Source organism: Homo sapiens, chromosome 2 (assembly GCF_000001405.40).
Source record: "Homo sapiens chromosome 2, GRCh38.p14 Primary Assembly".
Lineage (NCBI taxonomy): Eukaryota > Metazoa > Chordata > Mammalia > Primates > Hominidae > Homo > Homo sapiens.
Window position 1 is genome coordinate 237,635,610 of NC_000002.12, and position 19,903 is coordinate 237,655,512.

Consider the following 19,903-nt stretch of genomic DNA (forward strand, 5'->3'; position numbering starts at 1 on the left):
CCAAGAGTTCAAGTCCAGCTTGGGCAACAAAGTAGGACCCTTCCTTTAAAAATATATTTTTTTTATTTAGCTGGGCATGGTGATGCATGCCTGTAGTCCTAGCTATTTGGGAATCTGAGGCAGGAGCATCGCTTAAGCCCAGGAGTTCAAGACCAGCCTGGGCAACATAGTGAGACCCCCATCTCCACAAAAAAGAAAAGAAAAAGTGAGTGGGTGTGGTGGCTCATACCTGTAATTCCAACAATTTGGGAGGGCAGTGAGTGGATCACTTGAGCTCAGGAGTTTGAGACCAGTCTGGGCAACATGGTGAAATCCCTTCTGTACTAAAAATACAAAAATTAGCCAAGCATGATGGCTTGTGCCTATGGTCCCAGCTAGTTGGGAGGCTGAGGTGGGAGGATCACTTGAGCCCAGGGGACAGAGGTTGCAGTGAGCTGAGATCACACCCCTGCACTCCAGCCTGGGTTGACAGAGCAAAACTCTGTCTCAAAAAAAAAAAAAAAAAATTTAAAAGAAAAAGTTTGGAAACTTTTAGGATCTTCTCTTTATTCTCAGAATTCTGGATTTTTCCCCCACTTATTGAGCATTCATTGGGTTCATTCAATCTGGAAACTTGTATCCTAAAATTCTGGGAAATTTTCTTGAATTTTTTCCTAGCCCCATCATTTTTTCTGTTCTGTCTTACAGTAATTTCTGTAAGACAGAACAGAAAAAGAAGTAATTTTTCATTTTCCTTTCTTTTCTTTTTTTTTTTTTTTTGTCTTTTGGTAATACTTCAAGGAAGATTCTTCAACTTTACCATCCACTCCCTCTACTAAGTTTACCTGTTTTATATTGAATTGCTAAGTTTTTTTATTGTTCTTTATCTCTATAGCATCCTTTCTTGACTCACTAATGCAGTACCTTTTCTTACTACTCTAAGGATATTAAGCAAATTCACTTAATTTGGGGGTTTTCCTGAAAATTTTTTTGTTCCCTGCATCCTGGTCTGTTTCTTTTCCTCCTTTGTGTGTTTTGGCCTCTGTCATCTTGGAGCCTTTCTCAGATGTGTGGTGATCCTCAGCTACCCTTTCATATTTTAGAGGGAGGCACTAAACATGGTGACTACAATTTGAGCAAAGGCCAGGAAGAGAGATGTCACAAAGTGTGAACAGGAAGCCACACAGGGCGGCTGAAGTGTTGGTACCAGACAGTGGTTCCTCAGGCAGGGGCAAGCAGCTCTGATTTGAACCCAGTCTCTTGCCTTTGAGGCCAGTGCCCTTGACCACCATGTCAGTGTTAGGAGGAAACATTGCTTAATGTTAACCAGTCAGACTTCTCTAATTTGGTGCCTGCAGGTGGAGTTTTGTTTTTGATTAAGGGACTAGTAAGGCTGGAAAAGAAAGTTGAAAATTAATCTGAGACATACACCAGGGAAGAACGGCTAACCTCTAGTGTCTACACAGCTCAAACAAAGGAACCCATCATTATGGTATTCTTTTACTGAGAGCGAAATAAAATGTCAAATTAGCTGAGCAAATAAAGATAGTAAAACAAAAAAATATGAGATTTTCATAGCTTCAGGCATCAAGAATTGGGCTGGGCATGGTGTCTTGTGCCTGTAATCCCAGCACTTTGGGAGACCAAGGCGGGTGGATCACCTGAGGTCAGATGTTTGAGACCAGCCTAACCAATATGGTGAAACCCCATCTCTACTAAAAATACAGAAATTAGCCAGATGTGGTGGCTTGCACCTGTAGTCTCAGCTACTCGGGGGGCTGAGGCAGGAGAATTGCTTGAACCCAGGAGGCAGAGGTTGCAGTGAGCCAAGATCACACCACTGCACGCCATCCTGGGCAGCAGAGCGAGACTCCATCTCAAAAAGAGAAAAAGAAGAAGACAAAAAGCAAAGGAATAATTCATTTATTTGCTTGGAAAGTTCTCTAAGATCTGAGATATACTTTCCATAAAACAAATAAAATACCTGGAGAGTTTAGGTAGGCAGAATGTGATATGGCCTTGGCAGCAGGTAAACTCTTGGATCAGCAAGTCTCTGAGAGCCAGATCTGTTCAGAGCCTCCACTGGCATATTATATTACAAACTCTCCATCCACTCTTGGCTTGGGGAGTGAATGAAAAATCACATAGTGGTCATGATCATATTTAAACATAAAGAAATCAGGAGATCTAAAGTTGTTCATGTATTTTTAACCTCCATCATGTAGGTTTATCAATTTTGCCCTCATTGTCCTTGATTTCTTTCATTTTTATTTTTCACTTTCTTTGATGACATTCCTTAGGCATCTGGGAAGATGTGGGGTTTTCCAGGTTGACACTCATCGTGGTTTCCATGCTGACCAAACAGCTAGCATGGCTCTACCCTGTCTTCCCTAAGACAGCAGCCCCCAATCTTTTTGGCACCAGGGACCAGTTTTGTGGAAGACAACTTTTCCACAGACCAGGGTGTGGGGATGGTTTTGAGATGATTCCAGCACATTACATTTATTGTGCACTTTGTTTCTATTATTGTTACACTGTAATATATAATGAAATAATTATACAATTCACCATAATGTAGAATCAGTGGGAGCCAAGAGCTTATTTTCCTGCAACTACACGGTCCCATCTGGGGGTGATGGGAGACAGTGACAGATCATCAGGAATTAGATTCTCATAAGGAGCGCACAACCTAGATCCCTCATATGCGCAGTTCACAATAGGTTTCGCACTCTTAAGAGAATCTAATGCTGCTGCTCATCTGACAAGAGGTGGAGCTCAAGTGGGAATGCGAGTGATAGGGAGTGGCTGTAAATACAGATGAAGCTTCGCTCACTCACCCGCCTGCCGCTCACCTCCTGCTGTGTGTCCCAGTTCCTAACAGGCCATGGACTGGTACCAGTCTGTGCCCCAGGGGTAGGGGACCTCTGCCCTAAGATATTGCTTTAAATTACCCCCAGCATATTTTTAAATCACCCAAAGCTGTGCTGTCTATAGGACTCTGTGCTCTGTGTCTGTGCAGTGCACTGTGGTAGCCACTAGCCCTCTGTAATTACTGAGCACTTGAAATGCGGTTAGTACAGTTGAGGATCTGCATGTCAAATTAACTTTACCACAGTGCATTTAAAGGTAAATAGCCATGGAAGTCTTGGGGCTGCCGTGTCGACCAGTGTAGCTCCAGAGCAATTCCCTTGTGGAAATACATTGCAATAGAGGTATGTTCTGCAATGTGGGATATTTATTGACTGCTTACACATGGGGCTGCATACCACTCATGACCAATGCAGGTAGACTGGACTGATCGATGGACTGATCTATTGCAGGTTGGAACCTTTGTGGGGCTGTGGCCTCAGAGACCTGTGGGTCAGCCTTTTTAAGTTGTGTGACCGTAGGCAAGTGAATGCAGCCCAGTCTTCTTTTTTTTATCCGAGAAAGAGGAATGCTATCGTGTGGGGCAGTCATGGTAAAGAGCTAGAGCCCACAGGCTGCAGGGCGTGCTGCCTGGCACCTGGTAGGTGGCAATTAAATGGTGGTGGTCGTTTGCTACCTTCAGGTGGCTGTGGTTAGCTCTAGAAGGAGGCAGTTGTGCTTCTTGACTGGTTGGGATGTGCCCCAGGGCTGAGATGGGGGTTGGGTGGAGCTTGTGAGAAAAATATAGGAAAGATGATCTCCCATGCCCAAGAGGGACACAGACGGCCCTTGGGACTGATGAAATGAACTCAGAATAAAAGCGCGAATGGCTGTCGCTGTAAATATGTGTGTCTTTAGTGTCAGCGTCCCTGGGGACTTCTTATAAGTTTGAAGCATGTTACCATTCTTGGCATTGAGACAGCCAGTGTCACTTTTACTTCTTGGTCTTGAATTCAAGCATCAACAGTAAGGTACCATCAGATTTTTCAAGCTGCTTCACCATCAAGCAACCTAGCCTTGGTGCCCAGGTCTTTGGTTGGCTTCCCAGAAATAATGGGCCACTTCACCCCAGCCTTGTTCTGCACGGTTTATCTTTGGGCTTATCTGACCTCTTAGAAGCTACTAAATTACCCGCCTATTTTTAACCAATGCCTGGAGCCGGCTCCAGAGGAATTGCCACATGAGTTGAGATGAGGTGATGACCACATGGTCTTCCAACTCTTCATTTCAACATCTGAAGTTTTTTCTTTCTTTTGTCTTGTGTTAGGGTTTCTCAATCTGGGCACTACTGGCATTTAGGGCTGGGTAATTCTCTGTCCTGGGGGGCGCTGTCCTATGCATTATAGGATTTTGAACGGCATCCCTGGCTTCTGCCCAGTAGGCGCCAGGAGCTCCTCGCTATTCCCAGCTGTGACCACCAAACATGCTTCCAGACATTGTCAAATGGCCCATGGGGAACAAGATACCCAACTGAGGATCTCTGTGTCAGGTTTCCCCTGCCACACTGCTGGGTTTGTACCTTGAGCTCTGAACCACTCCCCTCAGCTAGAGAACTCTGAGTCTGACAGTGACTACGACTGTTTGCCCTCCTGCAAGGAGGGTAAAAAGCCCTAGCTGACCACATTACATTCTTGGCGTTTCCTGCATTTAAACCTCCTGGAAATTAGTACAGAGGGGGCCACATACCCTGGAAGCTGAGATGGGGCCATTTTAGAAGTCGGCTGCAGGCTCAGGGAATGGAGACACGAGCTGCCAATGTGATTACACTTTGCTGGCTTTGGAAGTGTGCTTGAGCTGACAGTGGGGCTGGGGACCGTCTATAACAAGATACCACAGACTGGGGGCTTTAGCATGGAAGTTGATCTCTCCCTGTTCTGGAGGCAGGAAGTCCAAGATCTAGGTGCCGGCACATTCAGCGCACACCTCTTGTCTGCATCTTCAGATTACTCAAAATCCAGGTGTGGCTGCAGGAGAAGGGACAGGGAAGACCCTCAACTTTAGTCTCACCTGTGGAGGTGGGGCTGGAGACCCAGTCGTCCTTCACCCCCCAGGACCACCCCCCAGATGAGAAGGGGGACTGGATGTTGGACAACAGAAAGGTCAGTGACTGCCACATTTCCACAGGATTAAAACCGTCCCCATATCTCCCGTAAAAGCACATTGCCGAACTTCTTAAAATAGATGACCAGATCATTGTCTTGTTCGGAATCCCTGCTGCCTCAGCCCTGGGCCTCCGCAGCTCTCTGCACGATACTCTCCTCATCACCTCTCAACTGATCTCCAGAAAGTACTGTGTGGCCCCCGCCCCTCCACTCCTGTTCCCAGCGAGAGAAGCCCGAGAACCTGCAGTCTCTATCCAAAGACTCCCCCTTCCAACCCCTGGCCTCTCTTTTCGCTTGGCCAAAAGGCGTGCATCTCAGCCTGCTGGGATGGGACAGGAAGGGACCATTAACCATGTGAATGTTCCAGCATATTCACCTCTGTGGTTTCTACCTCTTGCTTCTGTTTTTATGTACAATTTGCAAAGGAAAACACCCACATACACTGTCCCTCTCACTAATTGAAAATTCAGCTTTAATATTCTGTTTGGTTTCATCAATAATATTCTTTTAAAAAATGGTATTCCTCCCAGCACTTTGGGAGGCTGAGGCAGGAGGATTGCTTGAACCTAGGAGTTTGAGAACAGCCTGGGCAACATAACAAGAACCCATCTCTATTAAAAAAAAAAAAAAAAGGCCAGGTGCAGTGGCTTACAACTGTAATCCCAGCACTTTGGGAGGCCAAGGCAACCGAGTCACCTGAGGTTAGGAGTTCAAGACTAGCCTGGCCAACATGGTGAAACCCCATCTCTACTAAAAGTACAAAAATTAGCCAGGCATGTTGGCAGGTGCCTCAGGAGGCTGAGGCAGGAGAATCGCTTGAACCCAGGAGGTAGAGGTTGCAATGAGCTGAGATTGTGCCATTGCACTCCAGCCTGGGCAACAGAGTAAGACTCTGTCTCAAAAAAAAAAAAAAAAAAATTGTGTTCCTTTTGGTTTAAGACTTAGTCAATCTTTTCTCCTTGGATTTCTGTTTTTGTGATTGGTGTTAAAATTTCAATCTATTTTTCTTTCCTAAATATCTTTTCCAATTTTTCCCTATATAGAACATGATAGTTAATAAATTATACTGAATATACGTGTGGTGGGAGGACTGCCTTGCAGATCCACAGGTTGCACTCTGTATTACCAATAGCTTGTTTTTTTAAATATGATTTTTAAAAATATGTTAAAGTATACCAGGTGAAAATAACATATAACATGCACAATATATTGTACAGTTTTGTGTCTTGCTTTTAAATTTTTTGAGTTATTTCAGATAAGGATACTCCTGACACTTGGGAGGACTTCCAGGGCGTCGTCTTAGATGGCTGTGTGCTTCCTTTCTTGGGCCCTTGCAGAGTTCAGGTTTCTGTTGGTGTGAAGTTTTCCTCCTAACTCCCATGACTGGAGACACTTCGCACACCCATGAGAGAATCTTTGGGGTACCCAGGGAGAGTGTGGTGTAGAGGGTCAGCATTGGGTGCTGCGGCCAGGCGACCTCCTCAGACAAGCGACAAGCATCTCTGAGTCTCAGTGTTTCCACCTGGCAAGGGGAGGCGATACTGGGTGGCTGTGAGGAGTCTATGAGGCAATGCAGACACGAGGCTTAGGATGGGCCTTCAGGGAATCATGCTGGCCAAGGACCGCGTGTGTGCAGTTGCTGCTGTCTGCCACCTGTGCTCAAAGACTTTCAGACTCAGAGGCCGAGGCCTGGCTTCTGTCCCCAGCTTCACTCCAGGTTCTAGGCTGCACGCCTGGTTCCAGGCTCTAGGCCTCAGGTTCCCAGTCCCAGGTTCTAGGCTGAGGGTTTTGGTTCTGGGTTCCAGGCTCCAGGTTCCAGGCTAAGGGTTTCAGCTTCCGGGTTCCAGGCTCCAGGCTCCAGGTTCCAGGCTGAGGGTTTCAGGTTCCGGGTTCCAGGCTAAGGGTTTCAGGTTCCGGGTTCCAGGCTAAGGGTTTCAGGTTCCAGGTTCCAGGCTCCAGGCTCCAGGTTCTAGGTTAAGGGTTCCCAGTTCCAGGTTTCAGGCTCTGGGATAAGGCCTCCCAGTTCTAGGTTCCAGACTCCAGGCTTCAGGTTCTAGGTTCCATGTTTCAGGTACTAGGCTAAGGGTTTTGGTTCCAGGTTCCAGGCTCCAGGCTTCCAGTTCCAGGTTCCAGGCTAGGGGTTTCAGGTTCCAGGTCCCAGGCTAAGGGTTTCAGTTGCCAGGCCCCAGGTTTTAGGCTAAGGGTTCCTATTTCCTGGTTCTAGGCTCCAGGCTTCAGGTTCTGAACTCTAGGTTTTCGATTCTAGGCTCCAGGTTGCAGGGTCTGGACTCATACACCAGCTCCAGGCTACCTGGAGAGGGAAGGAAGGGCTGCAGGGCCAAGTCCGCCCCCGTTTTACCACCTCCTCTATAAGGTGGGATAAATCCGCCTGCTAACCTCACAGAGTTCACATGAGGTCCCGATGAGGCAACATTTGAGATGATGCACATAAAGCCTAAAGGGCTTTGCAGCTGTGAGATGGTGGTGATATTATTGTCAGAAAGGTTTAAAATAAATTCTTAAACACTCAGATGTTTCAGGCTAGTTTGTAGCTGCTTCTGAACATGCAGCAGTGTGCTCATGGGCCACAGGGCCGCCGCGCACTCGCTACACCTCTTTTGGCAACGCTGTTGCTTTCCTCTCCAATTGGAGGAGAGCTACACCACCCAGAATTTGCTAGAAATGCTGGGTCTTGAGCCCCACCTGTGCTACTGACTCAGAACCTCTGGGGGTGGAGCCGGGCATTTGGGCTTCTGACACACCCCCGGACGATTCTGGCGCACCCTCGCCTTCAGAAGTTCTGCCTTCGGTAGACGGATGCCGTTGGTGTATCTGGCTATACAGATGGGAGAATCCATTTACTCTGATGTTCCTGATTAGCAGAGGGTGGCTTTTTCCTGCTCAGACGGCTGAGGAGTGAATGACTTCGGTCATAACCGTTACCATTGCTGTGACCTTCCCGCTGGGCGAAGCTGCTAGTTGAGGATCTGCTCCCTCTCATAGGCCTCCCTCCCTTCTCCCAGGGGAGAGCCTGGCCAGGGCCCCCAGCCCGGTGGGTCTGCACTTGGCACACAGCAGACCCTGGATCACTAGCGTTTAGTGGCAGAAAAGTGAGTGAGTGAATGAATACAGGAACAGATGAATGAATGAATGAATGAATGAATGAATGGACTTAGCTTGACTTCACATAACATTTGGAAATTCTGATTGTTTTCAAACTAGAACAAGATTTGAAAAGGCTTGTCAGAAATCGCTTACATATAAGTGAAGGTTTAAGGAAGCGGGATTTAATTTGGCCAGGTGTGGGTTCTCAGAAATGTTCTTTTTGATTCCCCTTCACTCTGGCCAGGGTGGTTTGCGACCTTACCCCTCCTTCATGTAATAAGATATAGAGGGGAAAATTAAAGCAAGAAACCAAATCCTTTTCCTGTTTACTCCTACAGTTTTTCCCTCTTTCCAGTTCCTTGTTTTTATGGTTTTTCCTGCCTTGTGTTTCTCCGTTGGCTTTTGTTGCAATGTATGCACTTGGAAAAAATCTTCTGAATGATCCTAGTGATGGGGCTTTGGCCTCATTGGGCGTTGTGTGCACGATCGGGTTGCATTGCACACTGCCGGCGCGATGAGCTCGCACTCCCTAAAAAGGCAATCATTGTGTCCAGGAAAACTCTGCTAGGTTAATGGCACATGCCCAGGGGCTGAAGTCACTTGGACCAAGGTTTGTAGAACATGCTCCGTGTGGCTTTCCTGTTGGGGCAGGGGGATTGGGCCAGAGGAATTTAGGTGTATTAACACAGCCTGCCAGGTGCAATAAATAGCCACCTTTGCCTGACCTTAACCTCACCTAAGCGCCATGCTCCTCAAGAGCCCTGGGCACCCCAGGAGTAACTGAAAACCTTTGGAGGAGAGTTACGCTGGTGTTCTTGGGTTAGAGGCGGGTGGCAGGCTGGAGAATTAGGTTGGAAATAAAAATGAGTCAGTGTTGGTGATGCGTTTTGTGAAACCGGAAAGCTTAGTTAGAATGATAGAGAATACATAACCTGTTCTCAGCAACTTTGTTTTAACTGACAACAGGATTTTCCCAGTTTTCCCACTAATGTCTCTTTTCTGTTCTAGGATCCATCTGGGATCCACATTGCATTTTGTCATCAGTTCACCTTGGACTCCTCCAATCCATGACGATTTCTCAGTATTTACTTGTCTTCCCGACCTGGTGCTTTTGAAGAGTAGCTCTTAGGTATCTTGTAGAATTTGGATTTGTCTGATTAGACTGAAGTCTTGGATTTGGGGGAAGAATCGCACAAAGGTGAAGCGCCCTTTCCCTCACATCCTACAGGGACACACGGCACCAATGTGGCTTCTTACTGAGGATGCTGACCTCGATCACCAGGCTGAGGTGGTGTCTGCAGGTTTCTCCTCTATAAAGTTACTGCTTCTCCCTCTCCCTGCTCTGGAAGCAAGTCACTAGGTCCAGCCCACATCCAGGGAAGTGGACTTAGGCTGCCCATCCTGGCAGGAGGAGGATCAAAGAATTAGTGGGCCTGAGGTTAGAACCATCACCATCATTAGTAAATTTGGAGAGAGATACTCAGAGGCTATGCAGATATCCTGTGTCACCCTGACGTATTCATCCATGGATAGGTCATTCTTCTTTTAGTGTGAGTATCAAAAGCAGGTTATTCGGTGCAACCAGTGAACTTGAGAGCAGGGACTGGGAAGCCCTGGAGTTGTCGTGGCTCAGCCCCGTGCCCCTGGCTGTGTTCCTTCCCTCCTCACTGCCAAGATGCTGCTGAGCCCTGGTCTCACAAACACCTTTGAGTGGTCTGCTCACTGCTGGGGACATGGACTCCGACACCTTCCTACCCCTCACCGTTCCCCTCTCCTCCGACTTGCCACCGCCAAAGCCAGCAGTGACAAAGGAGGTGCCAGGGGCAGCTGCTCCAGCAGGAGCTCTCTCTGTACTCCGGACCCTGACATGGATGAAAACAAGATATGCTTGGGAGATAATTCTGTTAACTTTGTCTTCTTTTGGGAGGTGTGGTGGCTAAATACTTGAATGAAGGTTTTATGATGGGTGGAAAGAGTAACAACTTTCTTCATCCTAACTCAATGTCACTCTTCATGATGTACTCAGTTATTCCCTTTTAGAAATTATCTTAAACAAGGGTGAGCAATGGAATGTGAGAAAGATCAAAGAAATGCAGAGCAGACTAAGAAAGATGAAACATCTGGATTGCAGAGAAGGGTGACCTTTCCCTAGAAAATATCAACACTAAATCTTTACAAAGCCCTGTCCACTGGGTTCTAGGGAGCGCTGCAAATGGACTGGTCCCTAAGCTCTGGCCTGCTTCTCCACTCCTGTGAGACAGTTAACTTTTTTCTTTTCCTTAGCTCTGTTCCTCGCCGTGGGGACTCTGGATAACAACAGACAACAACAGAGCCCGTGGTAGCAGCAGCGAAGGAGTTAATATGCACCATGTGTCTAAGCCCTTTTCATTTTACTTCTTTGTAAATTTTTAACATATTTATTTAAAACATAAACATCGATATTCTGATTAGTTCGCAGGAACAATTATTGTCATTAGGGAAGATGGAAATTTACTAGCTATTTTCCTCCTTTCATTTTTAAAAAAAAATATATATGTATTACATTTTTTTCTTCAACTTTTATTTTAAGTTCAGGCATACATATGCAGGCTGTGCAGGTTTGTTGCACAGGTAAATGTGTGCCAAGGGGATTTGCTGCACAGATCATCCTATCTTCCAGGTATTAAGCCCAGCATCCATTAGCTATTCTTCCTGATGCTCTCCCTCCCCACCCCACCCTCCGACAAGCCCCACTGTGTGTGAGAACATGCGGTGTTTGGTTTTCCTATTCTGCGTTAGTTTGCTGAGGATAATGGAAGCCCTTTCCTTAACTCATTAAATGGGTAAATGTTTGCCCCCACAAGCCCGCATTCGTATTTTGAAGCCCTAACCCCCAGTGTAGCTGTATTTGGAGATGGGGTCTCTAAGAAAGTAATTAAGGTTAAATGAGGTCATAAGGGTGGGGCCCTGATCCAATAGAATTATTGCCCTTGTAAGAAGAGACACCAGAGAGCTCACTCTGCCTCCGCATGCACACACAGTGTGGGCCGTGTGTGCACACAGCGAGAAGGTGGCCGTCTGCAAGCCAGGAACTTGCTGGCACTTTGATCTGGAATGTTCCAGTCTCCAAAGCTCTGAGAAGATACATTTCTGTTGTTTAAGCCACCCAGTCTGTGGTGTTTTGTTACAGCAGCCTAAGCAGACTGAGACAGGCAGATACTATCATTCCCATATGAAAATTGAAGAGACTGAATCATAGAAAGGGGTCGCTTGCTGTATTGCTCTGTTGATTTTTCCTTCTAATAGTTTTGCTTTCTACATTTACTGTAATGTTCAGTTCATCAAGGCTCCTGACCATGATGGTTTGTTGTAAACTTCCCCACTTAACAGTATCCTCTGCTTCCTTTTTCCTCATTTGACGTTTTTCACTTTGAATTCTCCTTTCTCCAATGTTAGCATCTGAAACCCTTTGTGTTGGGCAGGATAGGCCAAGTCTGATGCTGTTACAAACATTCTGAAGACCCATAGGCCTACAGTGACCACAGCTTCTCTCTTGGGCACACTGGAGGCCATTGGCGGTGTGCAGGGCCTCTGCTTACTGTAGTCTCAGTCCCTGCCCAATGGGACGTGGCTCTCATGGCTTCTGCTGTCAGCACAGACTCATTCACTGGCTCTTAACACTTCTGCCCAGAAGTGGCACAGATGGTGGAAAGGTGCCAGGTGGGCTCCTCTAGCCAATGTGAGGGCCTTTGTACAAAGGAGAAAAGGGGAAAAAGAGCCCACCCACTGGTGCAGGGCTAGGAGAGTAGAGGGTGTCCCTTCCCTCAGATGGGTGCCCCCCCACCCTGCAGCAGGGTTGAGGGAGCAGAAGCGGGGTCCTGCCCTGTTGCCTGGTGGCCGGGCACTCGCTGCATGCAGGGCGGAGGGATAAGGAGCAGAGTCCTGCCCTGTTGCCCAGTGGCCGGGCAATCACTGCACGCAGGGTGGAGGGAGCAGGAGCAGGGTCACGCCCTGTCACCCCGTGGCCGGCCACTCACTGCAGGCAGGTGGAGGGAGCAGGAGCAGGGTCACGCCCTGTCACCCCGTGGCCGGCCACTCACTGCAGGCAGGTGGAGGGAGCAGGGGCAGGGTCACGCCCTGTCGCCCTGTGGCCGGCCACTCACTGCACGCAGGGTTTTGCTGTCTTTATGTCTTCAGGGCATTTCCATGAGAAGTGGAGGCTGCTGCCAAGACAGCATTTCAAACCATTCTTGAAGCAGGAACCACATCTGCGTGTGAATTTTTCCAGAATCTGGGGGAAGAACTTACTTGTTTCTTCGATATTCTAAATAATCAGTACAGCTTCCGACAGCAGTGGCCTCCAAACCTGAAATAGAGGCAGTGTATGAGTCCACGAGTCTTTTTGCTTGGTTTTGCCTTGCTTGCTTTACTTGGATTCTGACACTCCACTCGCGTGTTTCCACATTCAATTCCATTTGAATGACTTTGGTGCTTCTCAGCCAGCTGTGGACCCGGCAGCCCTGAGCCCTAGCCCTTCCCCTAGCAGCCAACTCAGCACCCGTGTTCTAAGGACGCAGGAGTCTAGAAATAGCTGCGATTCAGAGCATGTTTTCCCGACAACTGCTGATTCTCTCCTGACACCCTAATGCTGCTCTTTCCCTATTTTAGGGATTGTTCTTTGCTGAAATTATGTGGCACACATCAAAAGTGTTCTACAAGTGTCCGGGGTGTTCATTGTAATCTGGTATAACAAGATGCCTCACGGCCAGGTGCCGTTGGCTCCTGCTTGTAATCCCAGTGCTTTGGGAGGCCAAGGTGGGAGGATCCCTTGAGGCCAGGAGTTTGAGACCAGCCTGGTCAACGTAATGAGACCCCCATCTCTACAAGAAAAAAAAAAAAGATACCGCAGTTCACGCAGTTCAGGTATTTGTTCCGTGAACTTGGGGGAGTCATATAAACTCAACTTTTCTTTGTCTCTCTTGCCTGTGATGAGTAACAGAAACCATCTTCCCAGAAACTATCCCCACCCACCCCCAGCCCAGCCCGAGCAGCCCAGACCCAGGAAGGAGGTCAGAGCCTGCGTGACTGTGTGGCAAGGATCCCCCTCAAAGCAGGCAGTGATCCCCCTCAAAGCAGGCAGTGATGACCAGGCTCCCCAGGGGAAGGAAAAATGGTTGATTACCCCACCTCACTTTCTCAAGTTCCTGAAAGCCTCCCATCTTTTCAGGATGTTTTCCTTCTGCTTCCTTTCTGGGGTGATATTGCAATGCATGTGTCAGTCCCATTGTTCTAGCTGCCTTGAAGGAGTTCCAGAAACAGGCATGGCTGGTGTGAGAGGAGGCGTCCTTGTCACCATCCTTTGTTGCCTCCCATCTGTGGTCAGCACGGAGGCTGCCCTGGGTCTTGGCCGGCCCCTGGAGCTGGAGGAGGTGCTGGGCCATGGTTTGGAAGCTCGCATGGTCCCAGCCTCAGAGCCCCGTTCTCTGTGACCTGGCTGGGTCAAAGCCTGGCCCCAGAACAGCCCCTCCCTCCCCACCCACAGCTGTGCCCAGCTACGAACACTGTAGGCCGGGCGCGATGGCTCACACCTGTAATCCCAGCACTTTGGGAGGCCAGGGCGGGCAGATAACTTGAGGTCAGGAGTTCAAGACCAACCTGGCCAACATAGTGAAACCCCATCTCTACTAAAAACACAAAAAATTAGCCAGGCATAGTGGTGGGTGCCTGTAATCCCAGCTACTGGGGAGGCTGAGGCGGGAGAATTGCTTGAGCCCAGGACGTGGAGGCTGCAGTGAGCCAAGATTGTGCCATTGCACTCCAGCCTGGGCAACCAAGAGAGATTCTGTCTCAAAAAAAAAGAACACTGTGGTGTGAGAGGCAATTGTGGGTCAGCCTGAGGGCACACCCAATATAACTTTCACAGGTGTTTTGTTTTTCTGAGAAGAAGGTGACTTTTCCCGGTTGCTGTCCATGCAGACTGTGAGGGATGTTCACATGTCACATTTCTCACCGGAGTCCTCGTCCCATCGCCTCCTCTCTCCCTGCCGCGGTTCGGAAGCTCCACGGGGGCCAGTGTTGTTCAGGCCTCACCAGTCCTTGGTCATGCCACCCGGGCTGAGTTCATTTACCTGCTCATTCATGTATTCACTTTTCCTCCGATTCAACAAAAAAAAAAATTGATTACCCCCCGGCATGTCCTAATATACTGCAGCCTTCGAAAGAGATGTAGTCCTCATCTGAAAGGTCATCCTTTCAAGTGTCCATCCATCCACTGGGCAGATTTTTACTTAGCACATTCCCTGTGCTGGGGACTTCCCCGGGCACTGGGGACACTGTAGTGCACAAACCGAAGTCCCCACGCTCTGTGACCCTGAAGATAAACTGCTGAGCAGACAGCTCTGTAACATGCCAAGTGTTGGAAAGGGCTCCAGAGGAAATAGGGTGGAGAGAGGAACAAGAAGGGCAAGTGGGGAGGTTGCTGTTTTCTGTGGGGTGCCAGAGGAGGGCTCCTGGGAAAGGTGATGTTCATGGCAGTGGGAAAGACAGCAGGTGCAACAGTGGAGAAGGATGCCAGCCTGACCTGTCTGACTCTCAGCATGGGGGCTGTTGTGGCTGAGCAGAGAGATCCGAAGGAAGAGTGGGGAGAAATGAGGGAGGGGAGACAGCTGGGGGCGAGACTCCCTGGGGCTGTGTAGGCAGCAGTAAGACTTGGATTTTCCCCCTAGCAAGAGGGGTGGCTATTGGACAGCTCAGACAGAAACCTGGCTGCTCTGGCCTGTGTTAAGAGGATTCCTCCTCGCACTGTGTGGAGGACAGCCCTGGATGGCCGGGCAGGTTACGCACTGCAGAAGCCCTGGGAGCACCCTTCACACTGACTCCTGTGTGAATGACCATCACAGCCTGGGCGGGGCTGGCTGTAGGAGCAGCAGACCAGCAGGGGCAAGAGCAGAAGCCAGAGACCAGGCTGGACGTTGGCACAGTGACCGCAGGAGAGAAGAATGTTGCCAGACCAGAGTGGAGCCATGGGCTGCAGAGGTGGAGAAGTATTTGCATTCTGTATGCCTTCTGCAAGTAGAGCCTGTGGGGTTTGCTGATGGATTGAATATGGGATGGGAGAGAGAGGGAGATCAAAGATGGTCCCGGGGTTTTCCCCTGCATGACCAAAGTGGATGTTGAGGTTTGACCTGTGCCAGTGTGGGAAGCTGGGTAAATGTCGGGTTCTGGGGGGAAACCTGGTTGCCTCTGCTGGGCACTCGGCCCTCAGGCCTCCACATCCTCCTTGAAATGCGTATCGGGTCACTCTGGGGTATGGGTTTCTGATTAGGGGAGTTCAGAGGCTTATTCACAGCCCCTAAGGTATAGACTAAAATTAATTTATGTAACATGTATCATACTCTTTAAGTTGGAGGTTTTAAAAATGAATTTTAATTTAAAAATTGTCAAACATACCCCAAATTAGAGAGGCTAGTACGAAGAACACCTATACATCTGTCACCCAGATTCAACAAGGTTTTACCATATTGCTTTACCTGGCTCTTTCTTTCTTTTTCTGGGTGTCTTTGCTCACAGTATTTTGAAGCACATTCCAGGTGCAGGGTCACCTCGCTTTTCAGTGTGCACATCTAAAGCAGCACTGTGTTCTCACACAACCACAATGCTTTCACATCTAATCAAATTCACTTGAATTCCTTGGTATCATCTAATATCTAAAACATAATAAACTTTTTTCCAATTATGTCAAAAAGTGTCATATTACAATTGGTTGGTTTGAATCAGGATCTAGAGAGTCCACGCATCATGTCTGGGTGTTCTGCCTCCTACACCTCCTTCCATCTGGGAAGCTCCCTCCCTGCCATGTTGCTGTGGAAACCAAGGCACTGGATCAGTAGAGCACCCTACAGTCTGGCTGCTTGCTTCCCTCCAGTGTCATTTCACTTGTTCCTCTCTCCTCTGTATTTCCTGTAAGTGAAAATTAGCTCTAGGACAGTGCTGTTAGAAATGTAATATGAGCCACATATGTAATTTAAAATTTTATATTAGCCACATTTTTAAAAAGCGAAATGCATAAAATCTATTTTAATAATATATTTTATGTAAATTGATACATCAAAAGAGCATTTCAGCATGTAATCAATATAAAAAATTGTTAATGAGAGATGTTACACTCTTTTTATTGCATTAAGCCTTTGGAATCTGGCATGTACTTTGCACGGGTAGCCTCTCAGCTTTAGTTCACAGGCTCGGGCGCTGCCCGTGGCTGCATTGGGCTGTGCAGCTCCAGCGTCTCCACCAGATTCTGGCGTACCTTTTGCTCCTAGGTGGTGCTGTGTGCTTCCTGTTGTGTGGCACTGGGAGGCCCTCAGTGGTCGTCCCATGTTTAGTGAAAAGTAGGTGCAGGTGGTGACGGCGGATCTTTCCATCATAAACTTGTCCATCATGAAAGCAGTGGCGCCCCCACTCTCTGGATGGAGAAGACTGGAGAGAAGTCAGGGAATTAAAAGCCCCAACTTGCACCTTACCTTTCAAGTTCCTATTTGACATCCACAGGGAAAAATAAACTACACAGTTGGATCTGAGTCTGGAATTCAAGATCTGAGCTGGAGATATAAATTTGGGAGTTGTCAGTGTGTCAATGATGTGAACACGGCTGGATGAGATCACCAAGGGCACCAGTGCCAGTGCCGAGAGGTCACAGAGATGCAGAACCAGCAAAGGGAGTTGGACATTGTCCCAGAGGCCAAGTGAGATGAGAAGTGCCAAATGGATATAAAGGTTACAGCAACCTTGATGAGAGCTGGTTCAGTGGAGTAATGCGGTGAGCACCTGGTTGATGTAGGTTCAAGAGAGGAGATTCCTCAAAAAAGTGAAATAGAATTACCATATAATTTGGCAGTTGTACTTCTGAGTGTTCACCGAAAAGACCTAAAAGCAGTGTCTCAAAGAGGTACTTGTACAGCAGTGTTCATAGCAGCATATACACTAGCAACAAACTATCCAAAAAAGAAATCAAGAAAACAATCTTGGCTGGGCACAGTGGCTCACACCTGTAATCCCAGCATTTGGGGAGGCCAAGGAGAGAGGACTGCCTGATCTCAGGTTGAGAATGTTGTGAGCCATGATCGTGCCACTGCACTCCAGCCTGGGCTACAGAGTGAGACCCTGTTATGTGGTTTGGCCCTGTGTCCCCACCCAAATCTCATGTTGAATTATGATCTTTGTGTTGGGGGAGGAGCCTGATGGGAGGTAATTGGATCATGGGGGCAGATTTCTCCCTTTCTGTTCTTGTGATAGTGAGTTCTCCCGAGATCTGGTTGTTTAAAAGTGTGTAGCACTTCCCCCTTCACTCTCTCTCTCCTGCCGCCATGTGAAAGTGCTTGCTTCCCCTTTACCCTTCCACCATGATTGTAAGTTTCCTGAGACCTCCCCAGCCATGCTTCCTGTATAGCCTGTGGAACTGTGAATCAATTAAATCTCTTTTCTTCATAAATTACCCAGTCCCAGGTAACTGTTTATATCAGTGTGAGAACAGAGTAATACACCCTGTCTCAAAAAAGAAAAATAAAGAAAAGAATCCCATTTACAATAGCTACAAAAAAAGCACTTTAGGATTAAATGTAAACAAGGAGGTGAAGGATCTGTACATTAAGAACTACAAAACATGATGAAAAAAATTGAAAGAGACACAAATAAATGTGAAGATATCCCATGTTCATGGACTGGAAGAATTAATATTGTTAAAATGCCCATGCTACCCAAAGCAATCTACAGATTCAATGCAGTCCCTATCAAAACTCCAATGACATTGCTCACAAAAATAGAAAAAATAAAATAAAATTTGTACCAAATCAGAAAAGACTCCTAATAGTCAAAGCAATCTTGAGCAATAAGAACAAAGCTGGAGACATCACACTACCTGATTCCAAAATCTAATGCAAAGCTGTAACCATCAAAACAGCATGGTACTGGCATAAACAGAAACAGGTGGACCAGTGGAAGAATAGCGAGCCCAGAAATAAATCCACGCATTTCCAGTCGATTGTTTTTTGACACAGTTGCCAAGATCACACTATGGGGAAAGGATAATCTCCTCAATAAGTGATGTTGGGGAAAACTGTCCACCTGCAGAAGAATGAAATTAGACCCTCATCTCATTCCATATAAAAAAATCAACTCAAAATGTATTAAAGACTTAAATGTAAGACCTGAAACTATAAAACTAGTAGGAGAAAACATAAGGCGAAAGCTCCATGATATTGTTCCAAAAACAATGATTTTTTTGGATATGACTCAAGAGCACAGGCAACAAAAGAAAAAACAGACAAACGGGATTGCACTAAACTAAAAAGCCTCTGCACAGCAATGGAAACAACAGAGTAAAATGACAAACTAACCTACGGAATGGGAGAAAATATTTGTAAACTGTGCATCTGTTAAGGGGTTAATATCCAAAATAAACAGTAAATATAAACAAATTAATAGCAAGAAAACAAATAACCTGGTTTTAAAATGGACAAAGGACCCAAATAGGCATTTTTCAAAAGAAGACATACAAATGGCCAATAGATACGTGAAAAAAAAATGCTTGACATCATTAATCATCAGGGAAATGCAAATTAAAACCACAATAAGATATCATCTCACACCTGTTAGAATGGCTATGATCAAAATGAAAAGAGATAACAAGTGTCACAGGAAATGTGGAGAAAAGGGAACCATCGTACACTGTTGGTGGGAATGTAAATCAGTACAGCCATTGTAGAAAACAGTATGGAAATTCCTCAGAAAATTAAGAAGAAAACTACTATATGATACAGTGATCCCACTTCTGGGTATGTCTCCAAAGGATATGAAATCAGTATGTTGAAAATATTCCTTTTTTTTTTTTTTGAGACAGAATCTCACTCTGTCACTCAGGCTGGAGTGCAATGGCGCAATCTCTGCTCACTGCAACCTCCGCCTCACGGGTTCAAGTGATTCTCCTGCCTCAGCCTCCCGAGTAGCTGGGATTACAGGCACCTGCCAGCACGCCTGGCTACTTTTTGTATTTTTAGTAGAGATGGGTTTTCACCATGTTGGCCAGGCTGGTTTCGAACTCCTGACCTCCAGTGATCCCCTGCCTTGGCCTCCCAAAGTGCTGGGATTACAGGCGTGAGCCACCACTCCCGGCCTGTTGAAAATATATCTACACTCCCACATTCCCTGCAGCACTATTCACAATAACCAAGATATGGAATCAACCTAAGTGTCTAACAACAGATGAATAGATAAAGAAAATGTGGTATCGAGACACAATGGAGTACTCTTCAGCCTTCAACATGAAGGAGATCCTGTCATTTTCAACAGCATGGAGGAATCTGGAAGACACTATGATATGTCAAATAAACCAGGCACAGAAAGACGAATACCACGTGATCTCACTTCTTTTTTTTTTTTTTTTTTTTTTTTTTGAGACGGAGTCTCGCTCTGTCGCCCAGGCTGGAGTGCAGTGGCGGGATCTAGGCTCACTGTAAGCTTCGCCTCCCAGGTTCCCACCATTCTCCTGCCTCAGCCTCCCGAGTAGCTGGGACTACAGGCATGCATCACCATGCCCAGCTAATTTTTGTATTTTTTGTAAAGTTGGGTTTCACCGTGTTTGCCAGGCTGGTCTCAAATTCCTGACCTCAAATGATCTGCCCACCTCAGCCTCCCAAAGTGCTGGGATTACAGACATGAGCCACTGCACCCAGCCGTCACTCATCTTCTAATGGAAAGAATTTGCATTTATAAAAGAAGGATTGACATTTGTAATTTTTCTAAGAAATGGAATTTACAGTGCCAATATAGATGACTCT

General features: G+C 47.0%; 1 protein-coding gene across 29 annotated transcripts in view, besides 2 other annotated features; it reads left to right on the plus strand.

Annotated features, from left to right (window-relative positions):
- The window catches only part of LRRFIP1 (LRR binding FLII interacting protein 1), a 154,057-nt gene that overhangs the window by 8,023 nt on the left and 126,131 nt on the right, over positions 1-19,903 (plus strand). The window lies entirely within an intron of this gene.
- Positions 14,472-14,972: an enhancer, noted in NCBI's record as "H3K4me1 hESC enhancer chr2:238558724-238559224 (GRCh37/hg19 assembly coordinates)". NCBI's record gives its function as "activates a minimal SCP1, AML or CMV promoter by ChIP-STARR-seq in primed H9 embryonic stem cells {active_cell/tissue: H9 hESC(primed)}" and the evidence as "EXISTENCE:reporter gene assay evidence [ECO:0000049][PMID:30033119]".
- Positions 14,973-15,473: an enhancer, noted in NCBI's record as "H3K4me1 hESC enhancer chr2:238559225-238559725 (GRCh37/hg19 assembly coordinates)". NCBI's record gives its function as "activates a minimal SCP1, AML or CMV promoter by ChIP-STARR-seq in primed H9 embryonic stem cells {active_cell/tissue: H9 hESC(primed)}" and the evidence as "EXISTENCE:reporter gene assay evidence [ECO:0000049][PMID:30033119]".